The sequence below is a fragment of the Homo sapiens genome, chromosome 1 (assembly GCF_000001405.40).
Source record: "Homo sapiens chromosome 1, GRCh38.p14 Primary Assembly".
NCBI lineage: Eukaryota > Metazoa > Chordata > Mammalia > Primates > Hominidae > Homo > Homo sapiens.
Window position 1 is genome coordinate 18,152,097 of NC_000001.11, and position 24,535 is coordinate 18,176,631.

General features: G+C 50.6%; 1 protein-coding gene and 1 long non-coding RNA gene across 7 annotated transcripts in view, besides 3 other annotated features; one reads left to right on the forward strand and one right to left on the reverse strand.

Moving 5' to 3' along the window:
- The window catches only part of IGSF21 (immunoglobin superfamily member 21), a 270,686-nt gene that overhangs the window by 44,299 nt on the left and 201,852 nt on the right, over positions 1-24,535 (forward strand). The window lies entirely within an intron of this gene.
- Positions 3,903-4,781: an enhancer, noted in NCBI's record as "H3K27ac-H3K4me1 hESC enhancer chr1:18482493-18483371 (GRCh37/hg19 assembly coordinates)". NCBI's record gives its function as "activates a minimal SCP1, AML or CMV promoter by ChIP-STARR-seq in primed H9 embryonic stem cells {active_cell/tissue: H9 hESC(primed)}" and the evidence as "EXISTENCE:reporter gene assay evidence [ECO:0000049][PMID:30033119]".
- Positions 7,957-23,940, reverse strand: IGSF21-AS1 (IGSF21 antisense RNA 1). 5 transcript variants are annotated; one of them, XR_007065512.1, is made up of 8 exons: positions 23,855-23,922; positions 21,462-21,585; positions 20,353-20,467; positions 19,881-19,978; positions 18,601-18,714; positions 17,445-17,571; positions 14,828-14,928; positions 7,957-8,040 (listed from the first exon to the last, which is right to left on the reverse strand). It is a non-coding gene; the product is annotated as an IGSF21 antisense RNA 1 (long non-coding RNA). The 5 variants fall into 5 exon arrangements; XR_007065514.1 differs by lacking the exons at positions 17,445-17,571; positions 18,601-18,714; XR_007065513.1 differs by lacking the exons at positions 20,353-20,467; positions 21,462-21,585 and having other exon boundaries at positions 23,855-23,919.
- Positions 23,107-23,608: an enhancer, noted in NCBI's record as "H3K27ac hESC enhancer chr1:18501697-18502198 (GRCh37/hg19 assembly coordinates)". NCBI's record gives its function as "activates a minimal SCP1, AML or CMV promoter by ChIP-STARR-seq in primed H9 embryonic stem cells {active_cell/tissue: H9 hESC(primed)}" and the evidence as "EXISTENCE:reporter gene assay evidence [ECO:0000049][PMID:30033119]".
- Positions 23,609-24,108: an enhancer, noted in NCBI's record as "H3K27ac hESC enhancer chr1:18502199-18502698 (GRCh37/hg19 assembly coordinates)". NCBI's record gives its function as "activates a minimal SCP1, AML or CMV promoter by ChIP-STARR-seq in naive H9 embryonic stem cells {active_cell/tissue: H9 hESC(naive)}" and the evidence as "EXISTENCE:reporter gene assay evidence [ECO:0000049][PMID:30033119]".

Genomic DNA, 24,535 nt, shown 5'->3' on the forward strand with positions numbered 1-24,535 from the left:
CTGGGCCTGGCACATTAGAGGTGCCCATTATATGCCTGGTAGATGAACGAATGAATTAACTCAACTGTCTCACAGATTCCTTTTGAGGACCGACTGCACATTCATCCACAGTGCTCCTGCCCTCCTGGAGCTAAGCAGATGTCAAATGAGAAAGGGTGATGTCCAAGGACTCCAGAAGGTCATGCCTGAGTCTGGAGGTGGCTTCAAGGTTTTAACTGCGTTCCACTGCATGCAGTCATCGTGCCCTGCCCTGGAGACACCTGTCCCAGGATTCTATGTTAGCTACAGGTGTGAGGTCAGAGCAGATCCCTTGAGAAGGTGATATTTGAGCCACAGATCTTTAGAAAACACAGACCATAGACTCAGTTCCAAACAGTCTTGAGCTCACAATTTGGTTTGGCCTTTTGGGTGCTGTGTAAGCCTAGGTGAGTCACTTGACCTCTCTGAACCTTAGCTCGCTCATCTGCAAAGTGAGACCAGGCATCCGAACCTTTGCAGGGTGGTTGGGACCTAGTAACTGGTGTTGATTATCATAATCATGATTTCTCTTATTTAGATTTTAGACTTGAAGCTCCATCACTATGGAGCTTGGTCTCTGGCCATGGAGGGACCATGAAGTTTTGCCCTTCTCATCATGCATTGTTATAAAGCCAACTAAGGACAGCTCCCCAGTTCCTAGTGCCCAGAGCCCTAAATAACAAGATGCCGCTTCTTCACGTAGGGTTCCATGATCTGGCCTTAGCTCTGCCAGTTAGTAGCTGTGTAAGTCTGAACAGCTTAGCCTCTCTGAACCTCTGTTTCCTTGGAATAGGAATATCCAAGGCTATCTTATAGGGTACAGGTGAGGATAGAAGAGATAATGCAGTTAACAAGCCTCCTACAGCTTCTGCCCATAGCTATGATGGAAAAGCACGAGGGTTGATGTTGATTGCTTGCAGTGTGCCGGCCAACAATGGTGACAGCCCCAGGTTTGGGGGCTCAGTGTTCGAGCCCCCAAGGGCACTCAGATTCTGCCCAGCAGCAGCCACCACAGGGTCCTGAAAGGAGAAGGTTTGCTCCCAGCCGCTCTGCTGGCTTAGAACAGGCAGTGGGTGGTAGGGAGGCCAAGAGAGTGATGGAGGCATTCCCGGGCGTTGCTTCAGCTTCACTGTCAACCATGGAACAGTTATAGATGGTTTTGTCCTCTTGGAGATGTCCATCCCATTAGCATCCACACACGGCCCTAATGGGCTTCAGAAGGCCAATGCCAACAGTCTTGTCTTCACTCCGCAGAGGAGGCCCCAGCCAGATGGATGGAGCGGGGCTCAGAGCTGCTCAGACATCTGCAATGTAGCCCCAGGGAACTCAAAAGGCCCCAGGCCTAGGGCTGGACCCTAAGCGCAGCCAAACCCAGTGACTTGGCTCAATAACAGGCAGGAAGAACAAGGCACAGTCACTGCTCATAAAACAGCAGCAGCCACGGGGTGGATGACTGACTGGGAACCAGGTGCCGAAGGTGAATTTTCTCCTTTCATCCTCACCATCCTATGGACTTGGTGTGATGATCTCTACTTCGCAAATGAGGCAACTGAGGGTCAGGAGAGTGAAGTGATCATCTGTGGTGGTCCAGCTAGGGATGGCAGAGGTGGTGGGGTGGGGGGCTGGGGACACGAAGGGACCAGGACTTGAGTTCCGTTGGTCTGAGCCCCAGATGCATGCTGTCCCCGATTCCCCACGCAGCGTCTGCGAATCCATCCCCACTGAACCAGGACTGTCCAGCTGCATCTCATTTCATCAGCTGCTGTGGACTGGAACCCCTCATGCAGCCCTGAGCCCATGTGTTCCTTTAAAAGGTGGAGACACTGAAGCCCGGAGCAGGGAAGAGTCTTGCCCGCATCACACAGTGATTTAATTGTAGGAGCCGATCCGTTCCTAGGTCTCACCACCTTATCTGCATCCGTGGGATCCACAGACCACTGACTGGCATCCCAGGAGCCACGGTGAGCCCACTGTCTGTGTGTTTTAGTTAATTTTCTCACCTTTAGGTAGAACATGCATTCCTCGCTTCACCCCAGTCCCCACCCTTCCCTATCGCCTTCACCTGGGCTGATGCGCTCATTTGCTTCGCTGGCCTGATACTGTCTGCATTTGCCTCTCTGCCTGGGCTCTCCTTACAGGGGACTTGGATGGGATTTGATTTGAGTGCTTTTCTCTCTTTCTTTTGTCATCTCTTTCAAGGCCGCGAGTCCCATCTCCCATTTTACATCTTTTTTTTCAGCCCTCTTTCCTATATCAAAACTTCCCCATTCAAAGCTTCACCTCCTCAGGTCTTCAGACTCAGTAAAGGAAAGGAGATATCAGTGGGCAGCCACTCAGTCTTCTTGGCTCACGGAGGCTGGGATCACCCCTGTCACCCCTGACCCTGTGCTGGGCTCTGCCCTGAGAGAAGCTCACATGTCCCCAGCTGCAATGGATCTGATGCTGAGAATGATTCTCATCCCAGGCAAGGAGGCCCAGGGCAGGGCTGGGTGAGGAGGCCCTGCCCTGGGAGAGCAGTGGCTTCTGGGTTAGAACTCACTTGAAGGATGTGGGGAGGGGTGGGGGTGGGGTGGATTCCAGGCAGAGAACACAAGAGCTAAACTATTTAGGCTCAGAGAAAATGGAGTTGCTTTGTGTAACCAAATTCGTCCTCTCCTTTCCCCTCCCTTTCCCTCTTTCCCTCCCTTCCTTTCTCTTCCTCCCTTCATTTTCCTTTCACTTCCCTTTCACTTCCCTAGAGGAGGGGTTCCTTGGAGACCCTTGCAACTGGCTGGAATCTGGAAAAATCCTGGAGGACTGTCTGGAGGAAGTGTGAATCCAGGGAGGGCAGACTGTGAAGTGCAGGAGGGGAGCAGGGGCTAGGCAAATGGGGGGCTCACTTATGCCTCCTGCAGGTCCCAGCTGAGGCTGATATAGTCAAGAGGCCAGCGCTACTAGATTCACACTTCCTCCAGGCAGCCTTCCAGGATTTTTGTAGATTCTAGCCAGTCACAAGGGTCTCCAGGGAGCCTCTGCTTCCTGGGCCCCATGGCACTGTGCATGCACTTGGATTTTGTCACTTGCCTTTGTCATTTGCACCCGCCTCCCCAGCTGTGACCCCTTGAAGGCAAGGCTGTCCTGTTACACCTGGCACCCAGCACGGGATGGGACATAGAGAGAGCCTCGCCCCTGCATGGAAGCTGTCCCATGAGTCCTCTGAGTTTTGGCCCTGGCTCTGCTGGTGCCATGTGACTTCCTTGCTGAGCCTCTGCTCCTGCATCTGTAAAATGGGGATAAGGATACCTACTTTGTAGGGTTGCTATAGGAATAACCATCCAGCCCTTGTGTACCATGAGCTTGGCACCTCTGAGGCAGTCAACCAACTGGCTTGAGAGCAGTCAGAAAAAGGGGTCCCACCCAGGCTGGCTCTCCAGCCCCCTCCAGGGGCAATTCTGCTGAGCTCACGAAGGGGAAGAATGCACAGCATGCAGGGCCCCGGGTGCCCAAAAAGCTGGGGTGCCTAACAGAGGGACTCAGCCCCTCAACCAAGTCATAGGACATAGAGACCATCTTGGCAAGCCTGAAATCAAGAAAGACAGCCAGGCTTGGGGAACTGGTGATGAACTGCTGGTGCAGTGTTGAGGGGAGCCGGGAAGGGCTGGAAGAGGGCAAGCCAGCACCCCACTCTGTTGAAGGCCAGACAAAGGCTGGGCCTTCCAGGAGGCCTGGGCGCTGACCTGGGGTGCGCCATGCTCCCATCCCTGCGGGATCAAGAACGGGAAGCTAAGAAGTGTGGTCGGTCAGGAGGCTGAGAGCCTAATTGATTAAAGTTGTACATGTTTTGATGGGCCCGGATGCGGTGCTGGCGAAAGGTGAAGTATTAATACATATAATATATAATTATGATGTGCCACCGGCCTGGCAGCCTGTGTAAATAGTTACCCAGCTGGTAGCTAATCCCGGTAAGTGGGCCAGGGCACCTCTCACACGCGACAGGCTGGCTTCTATCCTGCGGGGAGGGCCTGGGCTTCACCTGGACTTGTGTAGCCCTAGAGGAACATTCTGATAGAGTGGGTGGGCATCCAGGGCTGGGGCTGGCACTTCCAGGGGTTGGAGTGTCTGGGCTGGCATGGAATTCTCCACTATTAAGGAGGTGGTCATCAGGGAAGGAAGGAAACCAGGCTGGACCGGGCACTCCTCACTGGCTAAGCCCTGTGCCCACTGGGCACTCCTCGCTGGCCAAGCTCCGTGCCCACAACCTCACACTTCATGCCCACTCTGCGTCTCCTCCTCTTCTCTCTGCAGATGGAGAAAATCAGAGAGGCTTAAGGAAGCACAGCAAGTAGGCGACAGGGCTGGGATTCAAATGCAGTCCCCTGGCTCTAAGCCCGAGTGCTGTTTCTTCCAGAAAGCAACAACAAAGCCACTGTCCCCGTCCCCAGCCCCAACCAAGTTCACTCTTGCTGAGCCCCCAAAAGGATTCCCATTGATCCCCTGTACTGAGGATACGGAGAGAGGTCTGTGGCATTCTGGGTCTCTCCTCTTAATTTAGCTCAAATGTTGAGAAACCAGAGAAAGTTAAGGGAAGATTCCAAACAAGTTGAGCTGCCACTAACAGCCAGCTCTGAGGCTTTTGTCTCTGAGTGTTTACAGCCCAGGAAGTCTGGCATCCACTGCAGGTGACCGGGCAGGGTGCAGGTGTGAGGCTGGAAGTGAGAGCGGACAGTGGGACTGAAATCCGGACTCAGCAGTTCCCGTCAAAAAGACATTCAGACTCTCCCAGCACTTTGAGGGGCGGAGGTAGGTGGATCACCTGAGTTCAGGAGTTCCAGGCCAGCTTGGCCAATGTGGTGAAACCTGTCTCTACTAAAAATGCAAACATTAGCCAGGCATGGTGGTAGGCACCTGTAATCCCAGCTACTTGGGAGGCTGAGGCAGGAGAATTGCTTGAACCCGGAAGGCGGAGTTTGCAGAGAGCCGAGATTGCACCACTGCATGCACTCCAGCCTGGGTGACAGAGGGAGACTCCACCTCAAAAAAGAAAGAAAAAAAAAAGAGACATTCAGACTCAAAATAACTTTCTACAACCCTCACTGCTGCTGTGTTGCTCAGTCCAGGGCCCCAGACTCCCTGGTGCCTCGTGGAATTTCAGAGGGGCAGTGGGGCTTCTAGCTCTTTCTTTGGAGGGCTAACTCTGCCTCGCTGTCTGTCCCCTGGCCATGGTGGCTCACCTGCCTGGTGGGTACCCCAGGACCTCACCCTGTGAGCCACTCTGGGGGCAGCTCCAGGAGCTCAGGTTTACTGCTCCCCGCCAATCCCCTCAAGGTCTCGGTCATAGCCACACCATGGCCCTGTGCGTGTGTCTGTCTATAAGTGAGTAGTTTTCTCCCCTGCCTCCACGCTGCAGCCCACAAGCTGGGGACTCCCAAGGCAGGGGGTTCATTCATCTCTGTGGTCACCATCGTCCTGTTCTCAACGTGTCCGCTCTGACTTTCTGCCTCCCAGCCCGGTCTGGTACACACGTTAAGCAAGACTGCAACCTGCAAGTCCAGCCCGTCTTCCTCCCAGCTGCAGCCACTAATGGGATGCTAAGTGCCTATTTTGCAGATGAGGAAATTGCAATTAAGAGAGGTTAAATAACTTTCCCAGGGTCACATATTTGGTTCGCCACTCCAACACCATGATGTTTCCACTCCATCAGATTGCCTCTTTGCTGGATGAGTCTTGGAGGGGAGGGGTGTTTCCTCCATCTGACTCAGGGCTCCCATAGGGTCTCCTCCATCAGAGTAAGCATTTGCTCAGAGCAGGAACTCTGTCTCTCCCACTAGACTGCGAGCTTCCTGAGGGCAGAAGCTGTACACCTCCCGTCAGCCAGACCCTCGAAAGGTAGAACGTGCATCTCCTCCATTACACTAGGAATATCCTAGTATAGGGTCCCTGGGGACACTATGAAGGTCATATCTCCCCCATCAAACTGGGATCTTTCCCTAAGGGCAAGCTCAGTGGCGCCCCCATCAGACTGGGAGCTCCCTGAGGGCAGGGACTGAGTCTGAAGTCCTTCAGGATCTCACACACCTGCCCTGTCATTCCATCCCCCGCCTTAGGACCCCCTGCCATGGCACCCCTGATGGTGTTCACATCCTGCACAGGACTCACCCTCAGCCGGAGCAGAAGCTGCCAACAGGCCACTAAACCACAGTGCACCCTCGGCATTAATTAGTGTTGCTGCTGTTAAGTGTTTCTTCCCATTTATGCAAATCAGCGAGGTAAGAGGCATATAATGAAGTGTTTGTGGTTTAATACTGTGCGGTAGGAACGAAGAGGAATTTTAATTACTGACTCCTAATTGGATGGACGGCTTGTTAATATCCTCCTGACAGGACATCTGAGTCACTTCTGCCCACCCACCCAGGCCCGGGTGTCTGCTGCCCACTCCTGACCAGGGCAGCGTCGGGGAACAGTGCCTCCAGAAGCCATCCTTGCTGCCCTTGCCCAGGGGTCATTCCTGGCATCCCTCTGCCCTTGACTTTGGAGCTCCTGTGTCTTTCAATCTCTTTTCTTCTCTCTCAATCTCTCTGCCTTCAGAAGGCCCTGGGCTTGTGTTCAAATCCCCATTCTGCCACTTACTGTGTGACCCTGGACAAGTCACTTCCCATCTCTGAGCCATGTTCTTCAGGCTAAGTACTGGATATGGGTGATAGGCATTGAGAAATCAGGGAGGTTATGTAGTTAGAAGGTTATGCACCCTTTCAGAGAAGGGTGGGAAGGTCCTGCCCAGGCATAGAATCTGGAGGAGAAAAGAATGTAGGGTGTGTGGGAGAGTCTGGAGATGGGCGTTACCCCCAGAGGTAGGAGGTGCTGAGGGCGATTCCCTCCCACTCATCCTTCGGGGCTCTGCTAGGGTGGCACCTCCTCCCAGACCCTCCCAGGTTCCCTGGTGCCTGTGTTGAGAGTCTCTGCCTTGGGTTTGGTCGCCTCTCTGCCCATCCCCTGACCATCACATCGTGCTGTCACTGTACCCATTAGACTATGAGTTCCTCCAGCTGTTCTGTTCTATTGACCCACTAGCCTGGTGTCCAGCACAGCTCCGGAACCTGAGAAAAATGTGCTCAATGAAAGATGATCAGTAGGCTGGACTTGTCTGCTGAAGATGCTCCAAGTCAGGGTGCAGTTTGGATTCTAGAGAAAGCAGGCAATAGGGAGCCATGGAGGACTCCGAACAGGGGGCCGAAGAAATGTTAGAATCAATGGGCCCTTCACAGCTCCCTCTGCCTTCTCTCGGATTCACCTGCTGATATAGTTTGGCTGTGTCCCCACCCAAATCTCATCTTGAATTGTAGCTCCCATAATTCCCATGTGTTGTGGAAGGGACTGGTGGTTCCCCCATACTGTTCTCGTGGTAGTGAGTAAGTCTCACGAGATCTGATGGTTTTATAAGGAGAAAACTCTTTTGCTTGGTTCTTGTTCTCTCTCTTGCCTGCTGCCATGTAAGATGTGCCTCTTGCCATGATTGTGAGGCCTCCCCAGCCGTGTGGAACTGTAAACCCATTAAACCTCTTTTTCTTTATAAATCACCCAGTCTCGGGTATGTCTTTTTTTTTTTTTTTGAGAGAGAGTCTCGCTCTGTCACCCAGGCTGGAGTGCAGTGGTGTGATCTCGGCTCACTGCAACCTCCACCTCCCAGGTTCAAGCCATTCTCTGCCTCAGCCTCCTGAGTAGCTGGGATTACAGGTGCCCAGCACCACGCCCGGCTAATTTTTTGAATTTTTGGTAGAGATTGGATTTCATCACATTGGGCAGGCTGGTCTTGAACTCCTGACCTTGTGATCCATCCACCTTGGCCTCCCAAAGTGCTGGGATTACAGGCGTGAGCCACCTTGCCTGGCCCTGGGTATGTCTTTATTAGCAACGTGAGAACAGACTAGTACAGCTTCCCAATGAACATCCAAATCTTGACGTGGTCCAGGTCCTCAGAGGACAAATTCAGAAGCATTTCTGGATCCCCTAGGATGGGCAGAGTGGTGATCTTTGGGCAGGGCCAGGCTAGGGGGAGAGAAGGAAGGAAAAACAGTCACTTCTCACCGAACTAGTTTAAGAAGAGTTATAACCAGATAGAAAAGCCTCACTGGTCTCACTCTGCTGGAGTTAGAGCCTAGCTCTGGGACTTAACCAGCTTTGGGGTCCTTCTGAGCCTTCCTATACTTATCCATAAAACGGGCTAAACCTACTTTATCAGATGTGTTCAGAGAATACATGACATAAAGCACTTCAAGCGCTCACAGCATTATGCCCTCATGCAGTAGGTGTTCAACAAAAGGCAGATGTTATTATAGTTAGATTTCCTATAATGGCAGGCGGTGAGCTCTCCTGGGTGTGGCTTCCTGGTGACAAGCCCAGGTGTCTGACTTAAGGCACACTTGGCTCTGCACTTTCTAGCTGGGCGAACTTGTGTGTTTTCTGGTTTAAGTCATAATTTCTTTTCTGGTAACATGAGGATCGTACAGTACTTCCTCACAGGGTCTGGGGAAGGACCGGGCACTCAGAGCGTGCTCATTCGGTGTGACGATGGCTGCTCCTGTCATAGTCATTATAACCCACTGATGGGGGGAACTAAACCAGCAGCTTCCCCATTCTGAACTTCAGCTTCCTTGTTCTATCTGGGAATCACAGTCCCTGCACCCGCAGCCACCCAGAATCACTGCAGTCAGCAGATCCTATTGCTGACAAGCCTTCCTAAACTGTAGAGTGCTGGACCAATGTGGGCTCTGACGGTTAGGACCACAGAGGGTATGGAGGGTGGTGGTGGCCGTTCCTGGAGGCTGACTTGGCCTGCTCGAGATGGGAGGTGACTGTGATCCATGTACCCCCTGCATCCTGGAAGACACTGGGAAGTCATTATGGGTGCAGGGGACCAACTGTAGAGCTTTAGGCCTCTGTTCCTGCTGGGGCCTGGCCAGGGAATCTCTTGGGCCAGAGTTTGGCCTCCTTGGCCTGCACTTGAGATCAGCAAACTCCTGAATCTCAGGGGTCCAGGTAAGGAAAGAAAACCCCGTGACTCGGCCCTCTCCCGTTTTAGCACGGCCAGCCTCAGCCTCCTTTCTCCACAGAGTCCCTACGGGGCCCTCCCAGCCTCCACTGGCATGAACGAGAAGGGAAAGCCAGCATTCACACAATGCCTGCTGTATAGAGCAGGTGCTTCTCTAGGCACTATTACCATCCCCATGCCGCAGAGGAGCAAGCAGAGGTGGCTTGCGGGGATGGTGCTGTGAATGACCCTTGGAGATAGGTCACCAGCCCAGGCCTGCCTGATTCCAACATCGTGCCCTGTATTCTGAGCCTGCAAATGCCAGCTTGAGTCCCAGAACTCTACCCAGGCCACCAAAAGCCTTATTTACCTTCCCCCCAGCCCACTTTCCTGGGCTTATCAGGCAGAGGCCGAAGCAGCTGCTCACATTGCAAGCGCCCATTCCAAGTATCCCACCGGTGACAGGAGAACAAACAAGCCTGAACCCTCAGCAATCCCCTGGCTGAGAGGCCTGCCAGAGTTTTCAAAGGCGAGGAAAACTATGAAACGGGGTTAAACAAACACATGTTTGAAAGGAAAACAGATGCCAGACAGATGTGCTCCCAACTTACACTGATACAGTCTCGCGTGGCGGTGGGAGGAGGCCAAATATTTATGAAGCATTTACTGCAAAAGGCAAAGCGGTGGAGCAAAGGCACAGAGGCTTGAAATCAAGCAGATGAAGCAGACCTGGGTTGGAATTCCAGATCCCCTTGGAGGGCTGTGTGACCTTGGGCAGGGCACTTAACGTCTCTGAGCCTCTGTTTTCTCATCTGCAAAAGGGGATCATCATACCCTTCCTATAGAGCAAACTTCTTAATATACAGGTGGTCCCTAACTTACAATGATTCGATTTCCTGTTTTTCTTTCTTTCTTTTTCCTTTTCCTTTTCTTTTTTTGAGACAGGGTGTCACTCTATCACCTAGGCTGGAGTGCAGTGGCATGATCACAACTCACAACTCACTGCAGCCTCAACTTCCCAGGCTAGGGCGATCCTCTCACCTCAACCTCCTGAGTAGCTGGGACTACAGGCACGTGCCACCACATGTGCCTGTATTTTTGTATTTTTTTGTAGAGACAAGGTCTTGCCATGTTTCCCAGGCTGGTCTGAAGCTCCTGAGCTCCAGCAATCTGCCTGCCTCTGCCTCCCCAAGTCTGGGATTACAGGTGTGAGCCACCGCACCTGGCCCAATTTGCCATTTTTCTACTTTACGTTAATGGTGTGAAAGCAATAGCCATTTGGTAGAAACCATCCTTTGAATTTTGAATTTTGATGCAGTGGGAAACTCCCTAGCAGTGCCAGACAGCATTAGGGAGCTGCAGCTCCCAGTCACCCATGCCATCAGGACAGTGATACACTGATACCCTGCAGCTTACTGTGGTGCAAAGTGGTTTTGCCCAATATATGCCGTTGTAAGTGTTCTGAGCACGTTTCAGGTCAGCTAGGCTAAGCTTTGATGCTCTGTAGGTTAGGTGTACTAAATACATTTTTGACTTAGGATATTTTCAACTTAAGATTGGTTAATTGGGATGTAACTCCACTGTAAGTTGAGGAGCGTCTGCATATTAGGGACATAGCGTGGGGCCTGACATATGATAGGTGCTCAGTAAATGTTAGTTTCATTCCCTTTATTAGAGGGTTTAGCAAGCTGAGATATGAGACCGTATTCACCCTCTAAACCAGGCCAAAAGGAAGGAGCCGCTCTCCTGGGGACAATGATGGTAAGTGAGGTCCAGAAGGCAGAAGGGTTGAAACCCAGAGGAGTCTTTGGACTTGGGGGACCAGGATCATGTTCTGTGAACAGTGATGGTGTCACATTGGGGGTGGTAGACGGAGGGTGAGTTGGAGTTGGCCATGCAGGATTTGGACATGGGGAGGTTAAATTAATCCCCAGTCATTCTAGGGTGATTCTTCTGAATGAAAGATGTTTCCATGGGGCTTGGGGGCACAGTGGCAGAGGCCGGGTATCGTATTCTGGGGTTAAGACCTTGGACAAATCTGCTTCACTTCTGTGAGCCCGTTTCCTAAACTATAAAGGGAGAATCATGATATTTACCTTCTGGAATTGTTGGGCAAAAAAGAAAAAAAAAAGGCAATGTGGCAGGCCGGTGGTGACTACTCAGAATAGTGGTTGTTATTGGTGGTGGTGTTAATGTCGCAGGAGGAGGTATGGCAGATGGGGTGGTGGACAGAGGATGAGTTGCAGAAGGGATAAAAGAGAAAGAGGTGAGAGGGTGGAGGGAGGAGTTAGTGCAGGATGGGAGGATGGATGTATCTGCCTCTAAATCCCAATTTCCTTGGCACTTGCCGGGAGGCGGTTTCTTTTGCAAACCATGACACATTTGCACAGGGTTAGAGCAGATCCCCAAGGCTCTGGACAAGGCTGCACAGCTACATTTCAGGTACATCGGTCTCGGTTTCCCCAGCAGGAGACAAGGCTCCTGAGATAAGCCTATGCTGTCCTTTTCATCCACTCTATTTGTGCTAGAGACCTGCATTTTTCCAACTTCCCTGCAACCCCATTGGTGCAGCCAGCATTGGTGGGTGGGAAAAGGCCCCCCAAGCTCCTGCCCAGCGCCTCTTTGGGGTGGGAGAAGGGAAGGAACAGAAGTGCCCACCAATGTCTTCTCTGACTTCACTGTGTCTTCACAGCCTAGGGGCACTGATGGATTTAGCTAAGTGCTCATAACTTCCAAACCAAAAGTCAGAGCTCAGGATCTAACAATAACGGGTGTTTTCCAATTCCTGAAAAATGATTTATATGAAAAGGGAAATACCGTGATAGCCATCATTTATATGAAATGCAATTTAGTTACTGATTTGGTGAATTACTGGACCACAATGAACGTGAAAAGAAGTAGAGAATCCACCAATGGGAGACTGCCCAGTGGCTGACACATGGAGGATAATGATGATGACAATAATGATAGAACAGCATACTAGCTCCATCTGTATAGCATTCTACATGGCATGTATTATGACTGCTCCCTTGTACAGATGAGGAAACTGAGGCATAGGCAAGGTAAGTAACTTACTCAAGGGTTTAGGACTAATAAGTAGCAGAGTTGAGATTTCAGCCTGGGTTTGACTGACTCCAGGGCACAAGTTTTTCCCTTCCTTGCTCCTTCCCTCTCCCCTTTCCTTCTTTCTTCCCTCCCTCTCTTCCTTCCTTCTGACCCCCTTCTTTCCTTCCTTTCATTCTTCTCCTTACCTCCTTTGCTGTCCTTCCCTTTCCTGTCTTTCCCTCCCTCCATCCATCTTTCCTTTTTATCCTTTTCTCTCCTTTCTTTCAATCGGATATTGATAAATTGCCCTCTACAGAGGTTGTACAATTTACGCTCCCCCCAGCAATGTTGGAGAGCCTCACCCTGTTCTCCCACAGGCTTGCCAAACACGGTGTCAGCAAACACACACCTTAGGAAATGTTGCCCGTCTGATCAGTGCAATTTTAACTGATCGTGAAGGAGGTTGAGCATCTTTTCATATATTGATGGGCAATTTGTATTTCTTTCTTCGCGATTATCTTTCATACTTTTTGCCCATATTTGTTCCTTTGTTGGTATTTTTTCTTTTATATATATATATATTTATTATACTTTAAGTTCTAGGGTACATGTGCACAATGTGCAGGTTTGTTACATATGTATACATGTACCATGTTGGTTTGCTGCACCCATTAACTCGTCATTTACATTAGGTATATTTCCTAATGCTATCCCTCCCCCCTCCCCCCACCCCACAACAGGCCCTAGTGTGTGATGTTCCCCTTCCTGTGTCCAAGTGTTCTCATTGTTCAATTCCCACCTGTGAGTGAGAACATGCGGTGTTTGGTTTTTTGTCCTTGCAATAGTTTGCTGAGAATGATGGTTTCCAGCTGCATCCATGTCCCTACGAAGGATATGAACTCATCATTTTTTGTGGCTGCGTGGTATTTCATGGTGTATATGTGCCACATTTTCTTCACAATTTCTAGGAACTTTTCATATGTTGAGGATAACATTCATAATAGGAGTCTGTATTTCTTGGCTAGGGCTGCCATAGCAAAATACCACAAACTGGGTGGTTTAAACAACAGAAATGGTTTTTCCCACAGTTCTGGATGCTGGAAGTCCAAGATCAAGGTGCTGGCAGCGTTGGTTTCTTGTGTGGCCTCTCTCCTGGACTTGCGGATGGTCACCTTTTTGCGGAGTCCTCACATGGTCTTTCCTCTGTGCATGGCAATTTCTGGTGTCTCTTGTGCCTCCAAATTATTTCTTCTTATAAGGACACTAGTCAGAGCAGATTAGGGTCCACCCTAACAGCCTCATTTTAGGCCAATTACTTCTCTAAAGGCCCTACATCCAAACACAGTCACATTCTGAGGTCCCGGGGATTAGGGCTTCAAATAAGAATTTTGAGGGAACACTTCTCAGCCTGTAAAGAGTAAAGTAGAGGTTCTTCTTCAAAGACTTTCCTCCCCATCTAATTAAGAATAAATAGTAACTTCTCTTAGAGGCAAAATTTGTTCAAAGACCTGTGCTAACATCCTTAAATATCTGCTAGCCGTAATAAAGAAATCAATTGCACTTTATGTTCTTAGCTCCCACAATTTAGCCTAAATATTTGCCCTGGCATGTTTATACCAGTCCAAGCAAGCATTAAGTCATAGCCTGTTCCTCTTCCTTATTTAAAAGTGTTTTTATCTTTCTCAGCATTCCACAAGTTACTTCCTCCTTCCTTTGTTCTCTTCTGCTTTTGCCTCTTTTAAAAAGTTCTAAGTTGCTAGCCAATCAGGACAAATACAAAATGTGAGGTCCCATTCCAGCCAGTAGAAACCAGACACAGCAGTAAGGTAGATGTGTCAGGTTATAAACGACCCTGTCTCCTTTGTTCAGTGTACTCTCGTGGTAAAACTGCTAGCAAGTGTACCCTTTCTGCAGAAAGTAAAAATGGCCTTGCTGAAGAAATTAAATTTATGTTCAAGTGCTATTTCTTTACAGAACCAGGGAACAAGCATTCCTAACAAGCCACTAACAGAGTCCCACATATCTTTTTTTCTGAGCTTGCTTTTAAAAAAAATTTTACCTTGTATATTTTCTCCCTACCCTATGCAGTATAGCCTCCTCAAGTCTCCAAATTTGAATATCTGAAATCAGCTTTGCTCCAGAAAACTGAGTGTTTATCTTTGCCTGGTTTCCCCTAATTTGTCTTCAGAGACAGCTTGATCCAGAGGAAAGGGTGTGATGGGCTTTGGAGTCACTTTGACCTCCCTGGCCTGAAGTCCTGGCAATTCGCACAGCCGCAGGGTGACCTTGGGCAAGTCACTCTATCTGAGACGCTGAGTCTCTTTTCTATAAACGACGCTAATAATAGCTAGCTGGCAGAGCTGCTGTGAGGACGAAATGAGATGATATCTCTAGAACGCGTAGCTCCGTGTCTGGCCCGTCACCAGGGTTCAGTATGCTGCAACCATTGCGATTTTCTTTATGAATAACAGCTCGTATTTATCAAGCATCCATGGCACCGAGGGCCTGAGGGGAAGGGGGATGCAGAGTGGGGTCTGTCCAGGCATCTGCTCTCAGGGACTCATGGTCAGGACCATGACCTGGAATGCATGGGCCAGGCCCTGCTGTCCTTCAAAGCCCAAATGGGGAAGGGAGACTCATATCTGAGCCTTGTAAGTGGAAGAGGATTTTCACAGGTAGGAAGGAGGGGTGTGGGAGAGGGCATTGCAGTGGGAAGGCCCAGGATGTCCCAGAGCAGGGAGGCAGGAAAGGAGAGATCACCTTCATTGGATCACAAGGCATCTCTGTCTACTCGAGAGTTTCTGGTTTGAAAGTGGGAGGCAGCGTGGAGACTCTGTTGTGGAAACAGGAACCGTCTTTACCTGAAACAGGCAGAACACACAAGTGTTTGATGGAGTTTGACTGTGAGGCCACAAGTGCTTGCAGAGGGAAGGGGCACGGGGTGAGCAGATGATGTTCACGCTACACATCGCTGGCTGAGCCTGAGCTTTCAGGGAGCAAGGGCTCTGCTGGCACGGATCGCAGAGGGCTTGAGAAGGGTGTATCTGAAGCAAGAGTGCTGGATGATCAGAGACATCCCCAAGAAGTGGGGATTGGTCCAAGGGCCCATGCTGGATAGAGGTGGCTCAGTGCCTGGCCCTTTACCTCATCTAATGCTAACTGCAAACCTGCAAGGTAGATATGACCGGCCTTATTGTACAGAGGAGGAAACCAAGACTTGAAAAGGTGAAATTGTTTACCCAAAGTCCAACTAGGAACTAGGTGGAGGAGCTGAGCTTAGAACCTGGGGAGCCTAAATTCTCTGCATGCACCCCCATGCTGGTTAGAAAAGGGTCTTGGGTGGTGGTGACCCCAGTGAAAGTGATCCCTGTGGAAAGGCTTAGTGCCCTCCACCACCCACCTGCCTTGCCAAGTTCCCTCCTTTCCCACCGTGAGTGGATTAGGCTGAGAAGGCGTGGGGTTTATGGTGAGCCCACTCTAGAGAAAAGGGCCCCGTCCACCCTTTCCTTCTGCTGCTGGAACCTCATTGCATACCTCCACCCTCGTGATCTGCTGGGGTGGGGGAGCCTATTTGGGACCTCACCTCCATCCCCACTCCTGCTGTACAGGGGAGAGAAGGGTCCCCACTGAACACTCTCTGTTCCCCACAGCAAGTGCAGTTGTGTGGCCAGGGCACTCTCAGGTTCCCGGCGCCCTGGGTGCCACTCCGAAGTGTCTGGCTCCTCTCCACAGATCCCAGGGCCAGCTCCTCCTGCACGTTCCTCATTCTTCTCCCTGCTCCACGTGCGCCACAAACACCTTGATCACCTCTACCGCAGGAACACCTGCTCTCCTTTTAATGACCACATTCATGGAAGGAGAACAACCAGCTTAGCATCATGGTCCAAAATGTCCCCCAGGGGCTGGACAGGACCTTGGGAGTCCAGCAGGACCACCCTGCTGCCTTTGGGGTGGGGGTGGGGTGAAGACACGTTAAACCCTCTGAACTGCAAGGAGGGTCTCTGTTGCTGCCAGAGCCCCCTCCTCGTCACTCTGCTCACCAAGGAAGAGCATCTGGCCGTTAACTTATATATAATAACCCTTAAACGCTGCCATTAAGTCACCTCTCATTCTTTTAAACTACCCAGGAAGGGAGTTCAGGGTGATATACGGAGGCTTTTATGGCTGGTACTGGGCAGCTTAAGGACTTAGCAGCACACTGAACACACACATTGTTGCATAAATAAGAACCACTGTAATATCAAAGCATCACTCAGCTCCATGCCTGAGTTTCTCAGCAGCACAGAACCAACATCCTGCACCCTGGGTCATCGTCACTTAGACAAGGGGACCTGAGGACAGGGTCATTGCCTCAGAGCTGGACCACTGAATCCCATGATGTTACCACTGCTAGATGCACCAGGAGACCCTGTCACTTTATCGCCTGTCCCTCTCTCCTTCTTTCACTCAGCCTTCTCCTTAATTACGCCTTATGTTGCAAGGGGCAGGGGATGGAAGAAGAAAGGAATCGCTCCCTATCCGAATTAACCTGCTGCATGCCAGGCACTTTACACATATTATCTCATGAAATGCTCGATTGTACACAGTAGTAAAGGTGTTATTGCTCATTTATAGCTGGAGAGACTCAGTAACTTGTCCAAGGTCACCCAGCTTGTAAGTGACAAAGCTGGGATTTGAACCCTGCCTATGGCCCTTGCATATATGTCATTTGCAGTAAACACGGGGTTCTGGGGCCGGAGGGGAGCAGGTGCTGGTGCAGGTGGACAGCCCCGAGGGGCCCCGAAGAGCCCTGTGTGTGGAGGCTTTGAAATCAGGAGTAGGGGGCTCAGAGTGTCTGTCTGGGTTTGCAGACAAGGGCACAGCACTAACCTGTGGCTGCTCGCCTGCGTGGCTATGCTCACCTAGGAGCACCCACTTGGCAAATGGACAGTGTTAATATTTAATGAGTGATGATGACTTTGGGGGAATTGCTGTTTACTCCCTCAGAGAAAGGCTCAGAATTCACATTGGGCCCCAATGGCCCAGGCAGAGACTCCCCAGATCAGATCCCCACCAGCTGGATCCGCCATGGAGGCCCATCTGCGAAGTAGCTTTGGCGAGCGGGATCCAGTGTCAGGTCCTGAGGGTGGAGGAAGAGCAGGGAACTGGGAAGTGGGGCCCCTGTGCTTGGGGAATTCCACTCATGCCTGGGAGTGGTTGAAGACGAAGCCCAGGCGTATTTCTTTCTTCCACCATTCCTCTAACCCCCGTCTTGCCCACGCTAACTGGGATGCCAACCGTGGTGCTGGGGTCCTCTGCTCTTTCCAATTCACAAGGGTGGCCCAAGCATTCCAGGGCTAATTCCACTTCCTCATAAGACCCCAAGGAAATCACATACCCTGGCTGCTTCCGCCCCATGTGAGGATGGCGGCACAGGTGGCCGAGTTAGCGAGTGTCTTTGCTGATGGCTGAAGCCCCCTGCCCCCAGCCCAGGGTAGGGAGTTCTCACTGGCAGTCAGATGCGCCTGATTAACAGAAATGAAAGATGGGCTAATTGCTGCTGAATATGAGCCGCTTGTTTGGTAGGGAGAGCAGGGTTTTCAAATCATGGAGTCCTGGGGGTGCGGGGAAGGACTGTCCTTGGGGCTCCTGGTCCACAGTGTGGTACTTGGCCCACAGAGATGAGCTGCCTGTTGATGGGGGAGGCAGACAGGCTGGAAAATGCGTGGACCATAAGACAGGAGTGGAGCAGGGTTTTTTGGCGGGGGAGGGGATCTCTTACTCTGCAGGAGATGGAACCGGGAGAAGTTCAACAGAGCAGCGGTGCCAACAAGGTATGGCAGGTGGCCATGAAGGCCACAGATCTTAGGACCAAGTGCATCTGTGTTCAAGCCCAGGATCTGTCACAAGCCCCAGCCCACAGCAGGCGCCCAGGAAGTGGTAGCTGTGAGTGCCCTCATTGTGGAGAAGGTAAGGAGGGCATTCCAGTTATAGGGAGCCACATGGGCAAAGGCATCACTGGACCTTGATGCTGCATTTGGGGGATCCTGTGCCAGGATTAAAGGATGCCAGTGGCAGGGGCAGGGGAGGAAGTGAGGTCAGAAAGAGAGATTCTTGGGAACCAGACAGCTAGCTAAGGAATGGGGTCTTATGAAGCCAGTGACCATTTCTGAGTAGGGATTCTAGAATCCAGATTTGTATAAGACAAATCGGTGGCTCCCAAATGGCCAACTTTGAACCCCTGCTGGCTGGCTATAGGCCCCAAAGACCTCATTTGGATAATACATTAATATACAGAGTGCCAGGTCCCACTTCCAGAGAGTCTGATTCAATAGGTAAGAATGCCTAATATGTATTAAATGTCTTCTGCTTGCTGATTTTATCCTATATATTTTACTTTTTTGTTTAACTAATGTAATCCTCACAAGAATCCTATGGGAATAGGTACTGTTATTGTCCCCATCTTACAGATGGAGGAAGTAAAGCACAGAGAGGTTAAGCAACTTGCTCAAGTTGGCACAGCAGCAATTGTCAGAGCTGGGATTTGAACGTACACTGCCTGACTCTGGAGTCCATGCTTTAAAGCACACTGCTATCCCGGTTCTGATGAAGGCTGAGGAAATCTCACTTGGCTGGGCACACGCCCTCCTGTCCATGATTCTTCCAGGCTGCAGATTTGAGACTCATGATCATTGTCAACCAGTGGTCTTACATTCAGAGAAGACAGTGGTCAGGGTAGGTTGCACCTTCAGGAAGGGCTTCATGGAGCAGGTGGACTTAAGAGGGTCAGGTTATGGTGGATGCAGGGAATCAGAGAGGAGGACAATCTGGGTGAGAGGCATAGCATGAACAAAAGCAAGGAAACAGCAGACATGCAGGCCCGTCGGGGAGGCTGCCTGTGGAAGGACCTGGGAGTGAGACTAGGTGTGTGGAATGAGCTTGGAAGACACTGTCTGGAGCAAGTGTCTCGGTGTCTTGTAGCATGCTGGCCTCACTCTCATGCCAGTAATTGTAAGCCCTCAAGATGCCTTCATTTCCAGAGCCACCCTAGGCTCAGTGAGAATTGAGCCATGATTAAAAGGTCAGTCCAGAGAGGAGGCATTCACAGATTCACAATCCTCCCAAATGAAGACTCATCCTTAGGGCCTGATGGGATCCCTGGGGTCAGAGGGCTGGGGTCAGAGGGCTGCAGGGCAGAACGAAGGCCAGGGCACCCATAGCAACCTGGAGGGGAAATCGCTCCCCTCTCTGCTCTGGAACAGGAAGTGCCTGAAGGTCCACGATTCCTGGCAAGGGCTAAGTAATAATAGGTAAGGAAATAGTCATGCTGAGGAAGGGGTGTAGCAGAGCAGCTAGGAACTCAGTCCCCAGCGTCAGAAAGTTTTCGTTCTGGCTCTGCTGCTCACTAGCCACGAGTGACTTTTCCTCTCCAAGCCTCAGTTTCCTCTGCTGTAAATCAAGAATTAATCATGCTAGAGTTGTCATGCAGAACCATTGAGATAATGCACAATGCTTATCACAAGCACTTAATAAACAAAAGCCTTCATTCTTATTTCTGGCACAAACTCCCTTGGCCACCTACTTAGCAACCATTCTCTTCTAGCAAAACTTTAATTTTGTTGAGTAATTCCCCTTCCCCCATGTGGATATGGACTTCACGGGGGTGGCACCAACTCCAGAGCCAAGAAGTGAGTGATGATTGGTCTAAGGCTAAGCCAATCCTGGTTGACCTGTTCCCTCTAATAGTGATTGGTTCAACCATGGGCAGCTGATACAGTTCTGTTCAATTAGTGGAAATCTATAAAGGAGCTTCTGGGAAAGGTTGAAGAGGTACCTGGGAAGAAATAGTTCCTTTTCTTGTCCCCTGGACAGGATTGTGTCTGCAGTTGAGGGCTGGAACCACAGCAGCCACCTTGCAGCCATGCTTACAGGCTGAGGAGGGCAGGAAAGAAAGATAGACTTGGGACTTTGATGAGGGCCTGGGCTGATTAATTCATCAGCCCTAGAATCCCCCTAGCTCAAGACTTCTTATGTGAGAGAATAATTTTCAACATTGTTTAAACCAAATTGAGTTTCCTGTTGATGTTTCCTGTTACCTGAGATGGAAGCATCTACCTAATACTCTATTAATTAAAGTTTGGTAAGAGTCTGTTTTCCTGGAGCAAGGCACTTATGTACATATTACTTCTTGTTACGCTCACACTAGTAGAGCAGAATTAATATCCCTATTTGTCTTAGTCTGCTGTGGCTGCCATAACACATATCATAGACTGTGTGGCTTAAACAACAGAATTTGATTTCCTCACAGTTCTGGAGGCTGGAAGTCTGAGATCAGGCTGCCAGCAGGGTCGGGTTCTGGGGAGGGCTCTCCTCCTGACTTGTAGATGGCCGCCTTCTCACTGGGACTTCACATGGCCTTTCCTTGTTGCATGTGCAGAGAGAGAGAGAGAATGAATCTTATCCTCTTCTTACAAATCCTCCAATCCTATCAGATTAGTACCCCACCCTTAGGACCTCATTTAACCTTAATTACTTTCTAAAACCCCTACCTGCAAATGCAGTCACATTGGGGGTTAGGGCTTCAACATATGAACTTGGGAAGACACAATTCAGTCCATATCACAACTGCACACCCAAGAAAAATTAAACTCACAGATGTGAAGTGACTTGCCCAAATCACATCACTTGCAAGGGGCAGAGCTAGGCTTTGAACAGAAGTCTGCACTTTAAAGTGTGTGCTCTCTGTGCTAGTCAAGCATCCCCTCTGGTGTGTGTGTGTGACTCAATCCATAAGTCATCTTACTATCCTACTCTGGGAAAGATAATTAATATAAAATTTTTCACATTTTAAAAAAACAGCTTTAGGCCAGGTGCGGTGGCTCACGCCTGTAATCCTAGCACTTTGGGAGGCCGAAGCAGGTGGGTCACTAGGTCAGGAGATCAAGACCATTCTGGCTAACATGGTGAAACCCCATCTCTACTAAAAATACAAAAAATTAGCCAGGCGTGGTGGCGGGTGCCTGTAGTCTCAGCTACTTGGGAGGCTGAGGCAGGAGAATGGCGTGAACCCGGGAGGCGGAGCTTGCAGTGAGCTGAGATCACACCACTGCACTCCAGCCTCAGCGACAGGCAAGACTCCGTCTCAAAAACACAAAACAACAACGACAAAAAATCAGCTTTAATTGAGGTATAATTTACCAACAAAAAAGTCCAATTAGAACTGTCAGATTAGCTGCATTTTGACAAATGTATGCAGTTGTGTAAACACCACCACAGTCAGGATATAGAATAAGCCAGTCACTCCCAAAAGTCCCATCACGGACCTTTTGGAATCTCCTGCATCCTGCCCTTAGGCCCAGGCAACCACCCACCTGCTTCCTGTCCCTGCAGTTTGGTCTTTTCTAGAATTTCCTACCAGTGGAAGCATACAGTTTGTGTCTTTTGGGTCTGGCTTTGTTCACTTGGCATGATGCTTTGGAGATTTAGCCATGTGGTTACACGGACCACTCGTTCATCCCTTTTTATTGCTGTGTAGTATTCTGTTATGAGGAAATAGCAGATGTGGATTTGAGTTTTATTTTGTTTTGTTTTATTTTATGTATTTATGTACGTATGTATTTATTTATTTGGAGACGGAGTCTCACTCTATCGCCCAGGCTGGGGTGCAGTGGTGCAATCTCAGCTCATTGCAACCTCGGTCTCCCAGGTTCAAGCGATTCTCCTGCCTCAGCCACCTGAGTAGCTGGGACTACAGGCGAGTGCCACCACGCCCAGCTAATTTTTGTATTTTTAGTAGAGAAAGAGTTTCACCACGTTGGCCAGGCTGGTCTTGAACTCCTGACCTCGGGTGATTTGCCCTCCTCGGCCTCCCAAAGTGCTGGGATCACAGGCATGAGCCACCGCGCCTGGCCTCTTTGAATTTTAAAATCATACTTTCCATACATGAATGTTCCGGGAAGCTCAACCTCATGTGTTCTGTGGCTTGCGGGGAATCACACCGCAAAGACAGAAACACCCAGATGGCTGGGCCTGCTGAGCCTGTACTGCTTTCCAACAGCCATCCTGGGATCTTTCATCTAAATAGCTCTAGTTCCCTCATATCTCCAGAGAGCTTGCACCCCACCCCCGAGGCGTTGCAGGAAGGAATTCCATGTGTTCCCCGAATCCGAGCAGCCCGTGTCTAAGCGTCTTCACAGATGGGCAGTTCTTCTTTTATCTAGTCTCAAGCTTTCATGCTTCATTACTATTCTTCCCGCTGCTGATGAAATGAAGCTTTGAAGTGAGGGAACTGCATGGATCTGAAGGCTCGAGGAAGAGGATGACGGGAAGGCCCAGGAGTCTCTCCCATGTCCCTGGTTAGACAAAAAGCTGCCTGCTCCAGGAGCTGATGTTGTCACGACCCACCCACATCCCCTCGCTCGCTCTTGTCACTTCAAGCGTGCCACCCGACTTCCCCCTGCCAGCTCTCTGATTTCTTTGCTTAGGGTTCTCTTTGCCTGGCAGGGCAGTTTTGCCCACCCGATTCCCATCGCCTTCTCCCCCCAGGGAAGGATAACTCTGAGGCTCACGTCTGTTCGACACTGGCTCCCAGCGTTTCCCCAGGGCTTGAGCCCCGTTGCCCACTGGGGTAGCTGCCGACGACACACTCTGCCTGGCTTCTCCTGTGCCCTGACAGTGGTTCTTGACATAGTCTGCAAATAACTACCTGCACCAGAATCCTTGCCTCAGGTCTGCTTCTGGGAAGCCCATTCTGAGCCAAATGGTAGCAGTGAGCACTGGAGGTCTCTGGGGCCCTGGGCTGGCTGCTTTATGCACTGCTTTCATCAGTACAGTCCCCTGAGGTGGGACCGTTCACTGCCATCTTGCAGATGATGGGTAACTTGCCTGAAGTCGAGCACTTAGTGGGTGGCCAAGCCAGGTTTCAGACTCCCAGCCTCTCCCCTACCCACCTCCACCCTGAAACAAACATATTCAAATGCCCGTGTGACCCTTATCTGGAGTTTGAGTAAAACTCTTGGGCTTGGGCGTCCAAAACTCAGAATTCTGTCTCTGCCTCTGTCACAGATGTGCTGTGTGGCCTTGGACAAGTCACTTCCCCTATCTGGGCTCTATTTCCCCTTTATAATCTGGAGGGACTGGATTGTGTGATGTAAACAGGCCCCTCTAGCTCTGACATTTGGTAGAAGCTAAGGTTGAAGGAGGTGATTTTAGGACAAATACTAGGCCTCCCTATCTTATCTAGCGGGGAGTGAACTGCAGAGTTAGCACCCGCAGACAGCCGGGAGGAAACGAGAAAGAGCCATTTGAAGGATTCAGAGGAAGATGCCATGGAATAACAAGGGCAGCTCCTTGAGGGATGCTGCGGGGAGAGGGGTGCAGACATCCAAGGTTAAAGGCAGGAGGGGTCAGTCTGGAACCTCCTTGTCCCTTGCTCCTGGTGGGAAGTGACCCGGGAAGAACCTGGGGTAGCGGGGGCTCCCTTCCTCTGTCCAGTCCCTTATAAGGGGTCCCTTGGGCAGAGGCTGTTCTGAACCTTCCTTCCCACGAGGACTCTCTCACCAGGAGGTCACCTCCCCTAGCACAGGGGTGGCAGGACAGGGTGGAGGGAGAGCTAATGAGCCAGAGCCATGTTCCCTCCGCCTCCAAAAGCCCAGAGCAAGGCAGAGGGAAGAGCCGGGTGAATTATGCATGTGCCTGTTAATCACGCACTGATTAAAATAATTGTACTAATATTAATTCTTCCAGCCCTCTTGGAGGAGAGGGCAGTGCCTGTTCCCTGCTCCTGGCAGTAGATCATGCCCAGCAGACCTGTGGATTTGTAGGATGCTGGCTCTCTGCCAGTCCCTGGGCATGCCGCTGGATGTGAGCTCATTGTACCCTCTGCCTTGTGAAGGAGGGAAGGCCCGGTGCCTGGCCTGGATGTCTGAAACTGCAGAATGAGGTTCAGAGATGTCAAGGGCCTTAATTACAGACACACAGCAATGAGCCTGGTTGGGAATCAGGCTTCCTGCTCCGCGGGCTGTCGGCTCTGCCTGCAGGGTGAAAACAAGAAGGATTTTCAAGGCAGTGTCACATGGTTGAGCTGCTTTTAGGCAGATAACTGCAGGAGGGGACACAGAGAGGCATCCTAGCTTAAAGATATCTGACTTGCAAATGACGAGACACCTGGCTTCATTTTTCAGACACCTGAAGGCATTGTGGCAAAGTTAAGGAACGATCACAGGCTCTGGGGCCAAACAGACTTGAATTCCAGTCTGGTCTCCCCCAGGCTCTAGCCAAGTGATCTTGAGAGCAAGACTTTTCCTCCTTGAACCTTAGGGGTCCCATCTGCAAAAGGAGTCAGTCAAGCCCAGAACTGTTGTCGAGATTAAAGGATACAATCTAATAAGTAGGGCATCTCTTGGCACATAGCAGATAATCCTCGGGAGCAGTTTTCCAAGGAGTAAGCCTTTTCACACTGATGTGCCGTTTTCACTAACTGGTATTTAA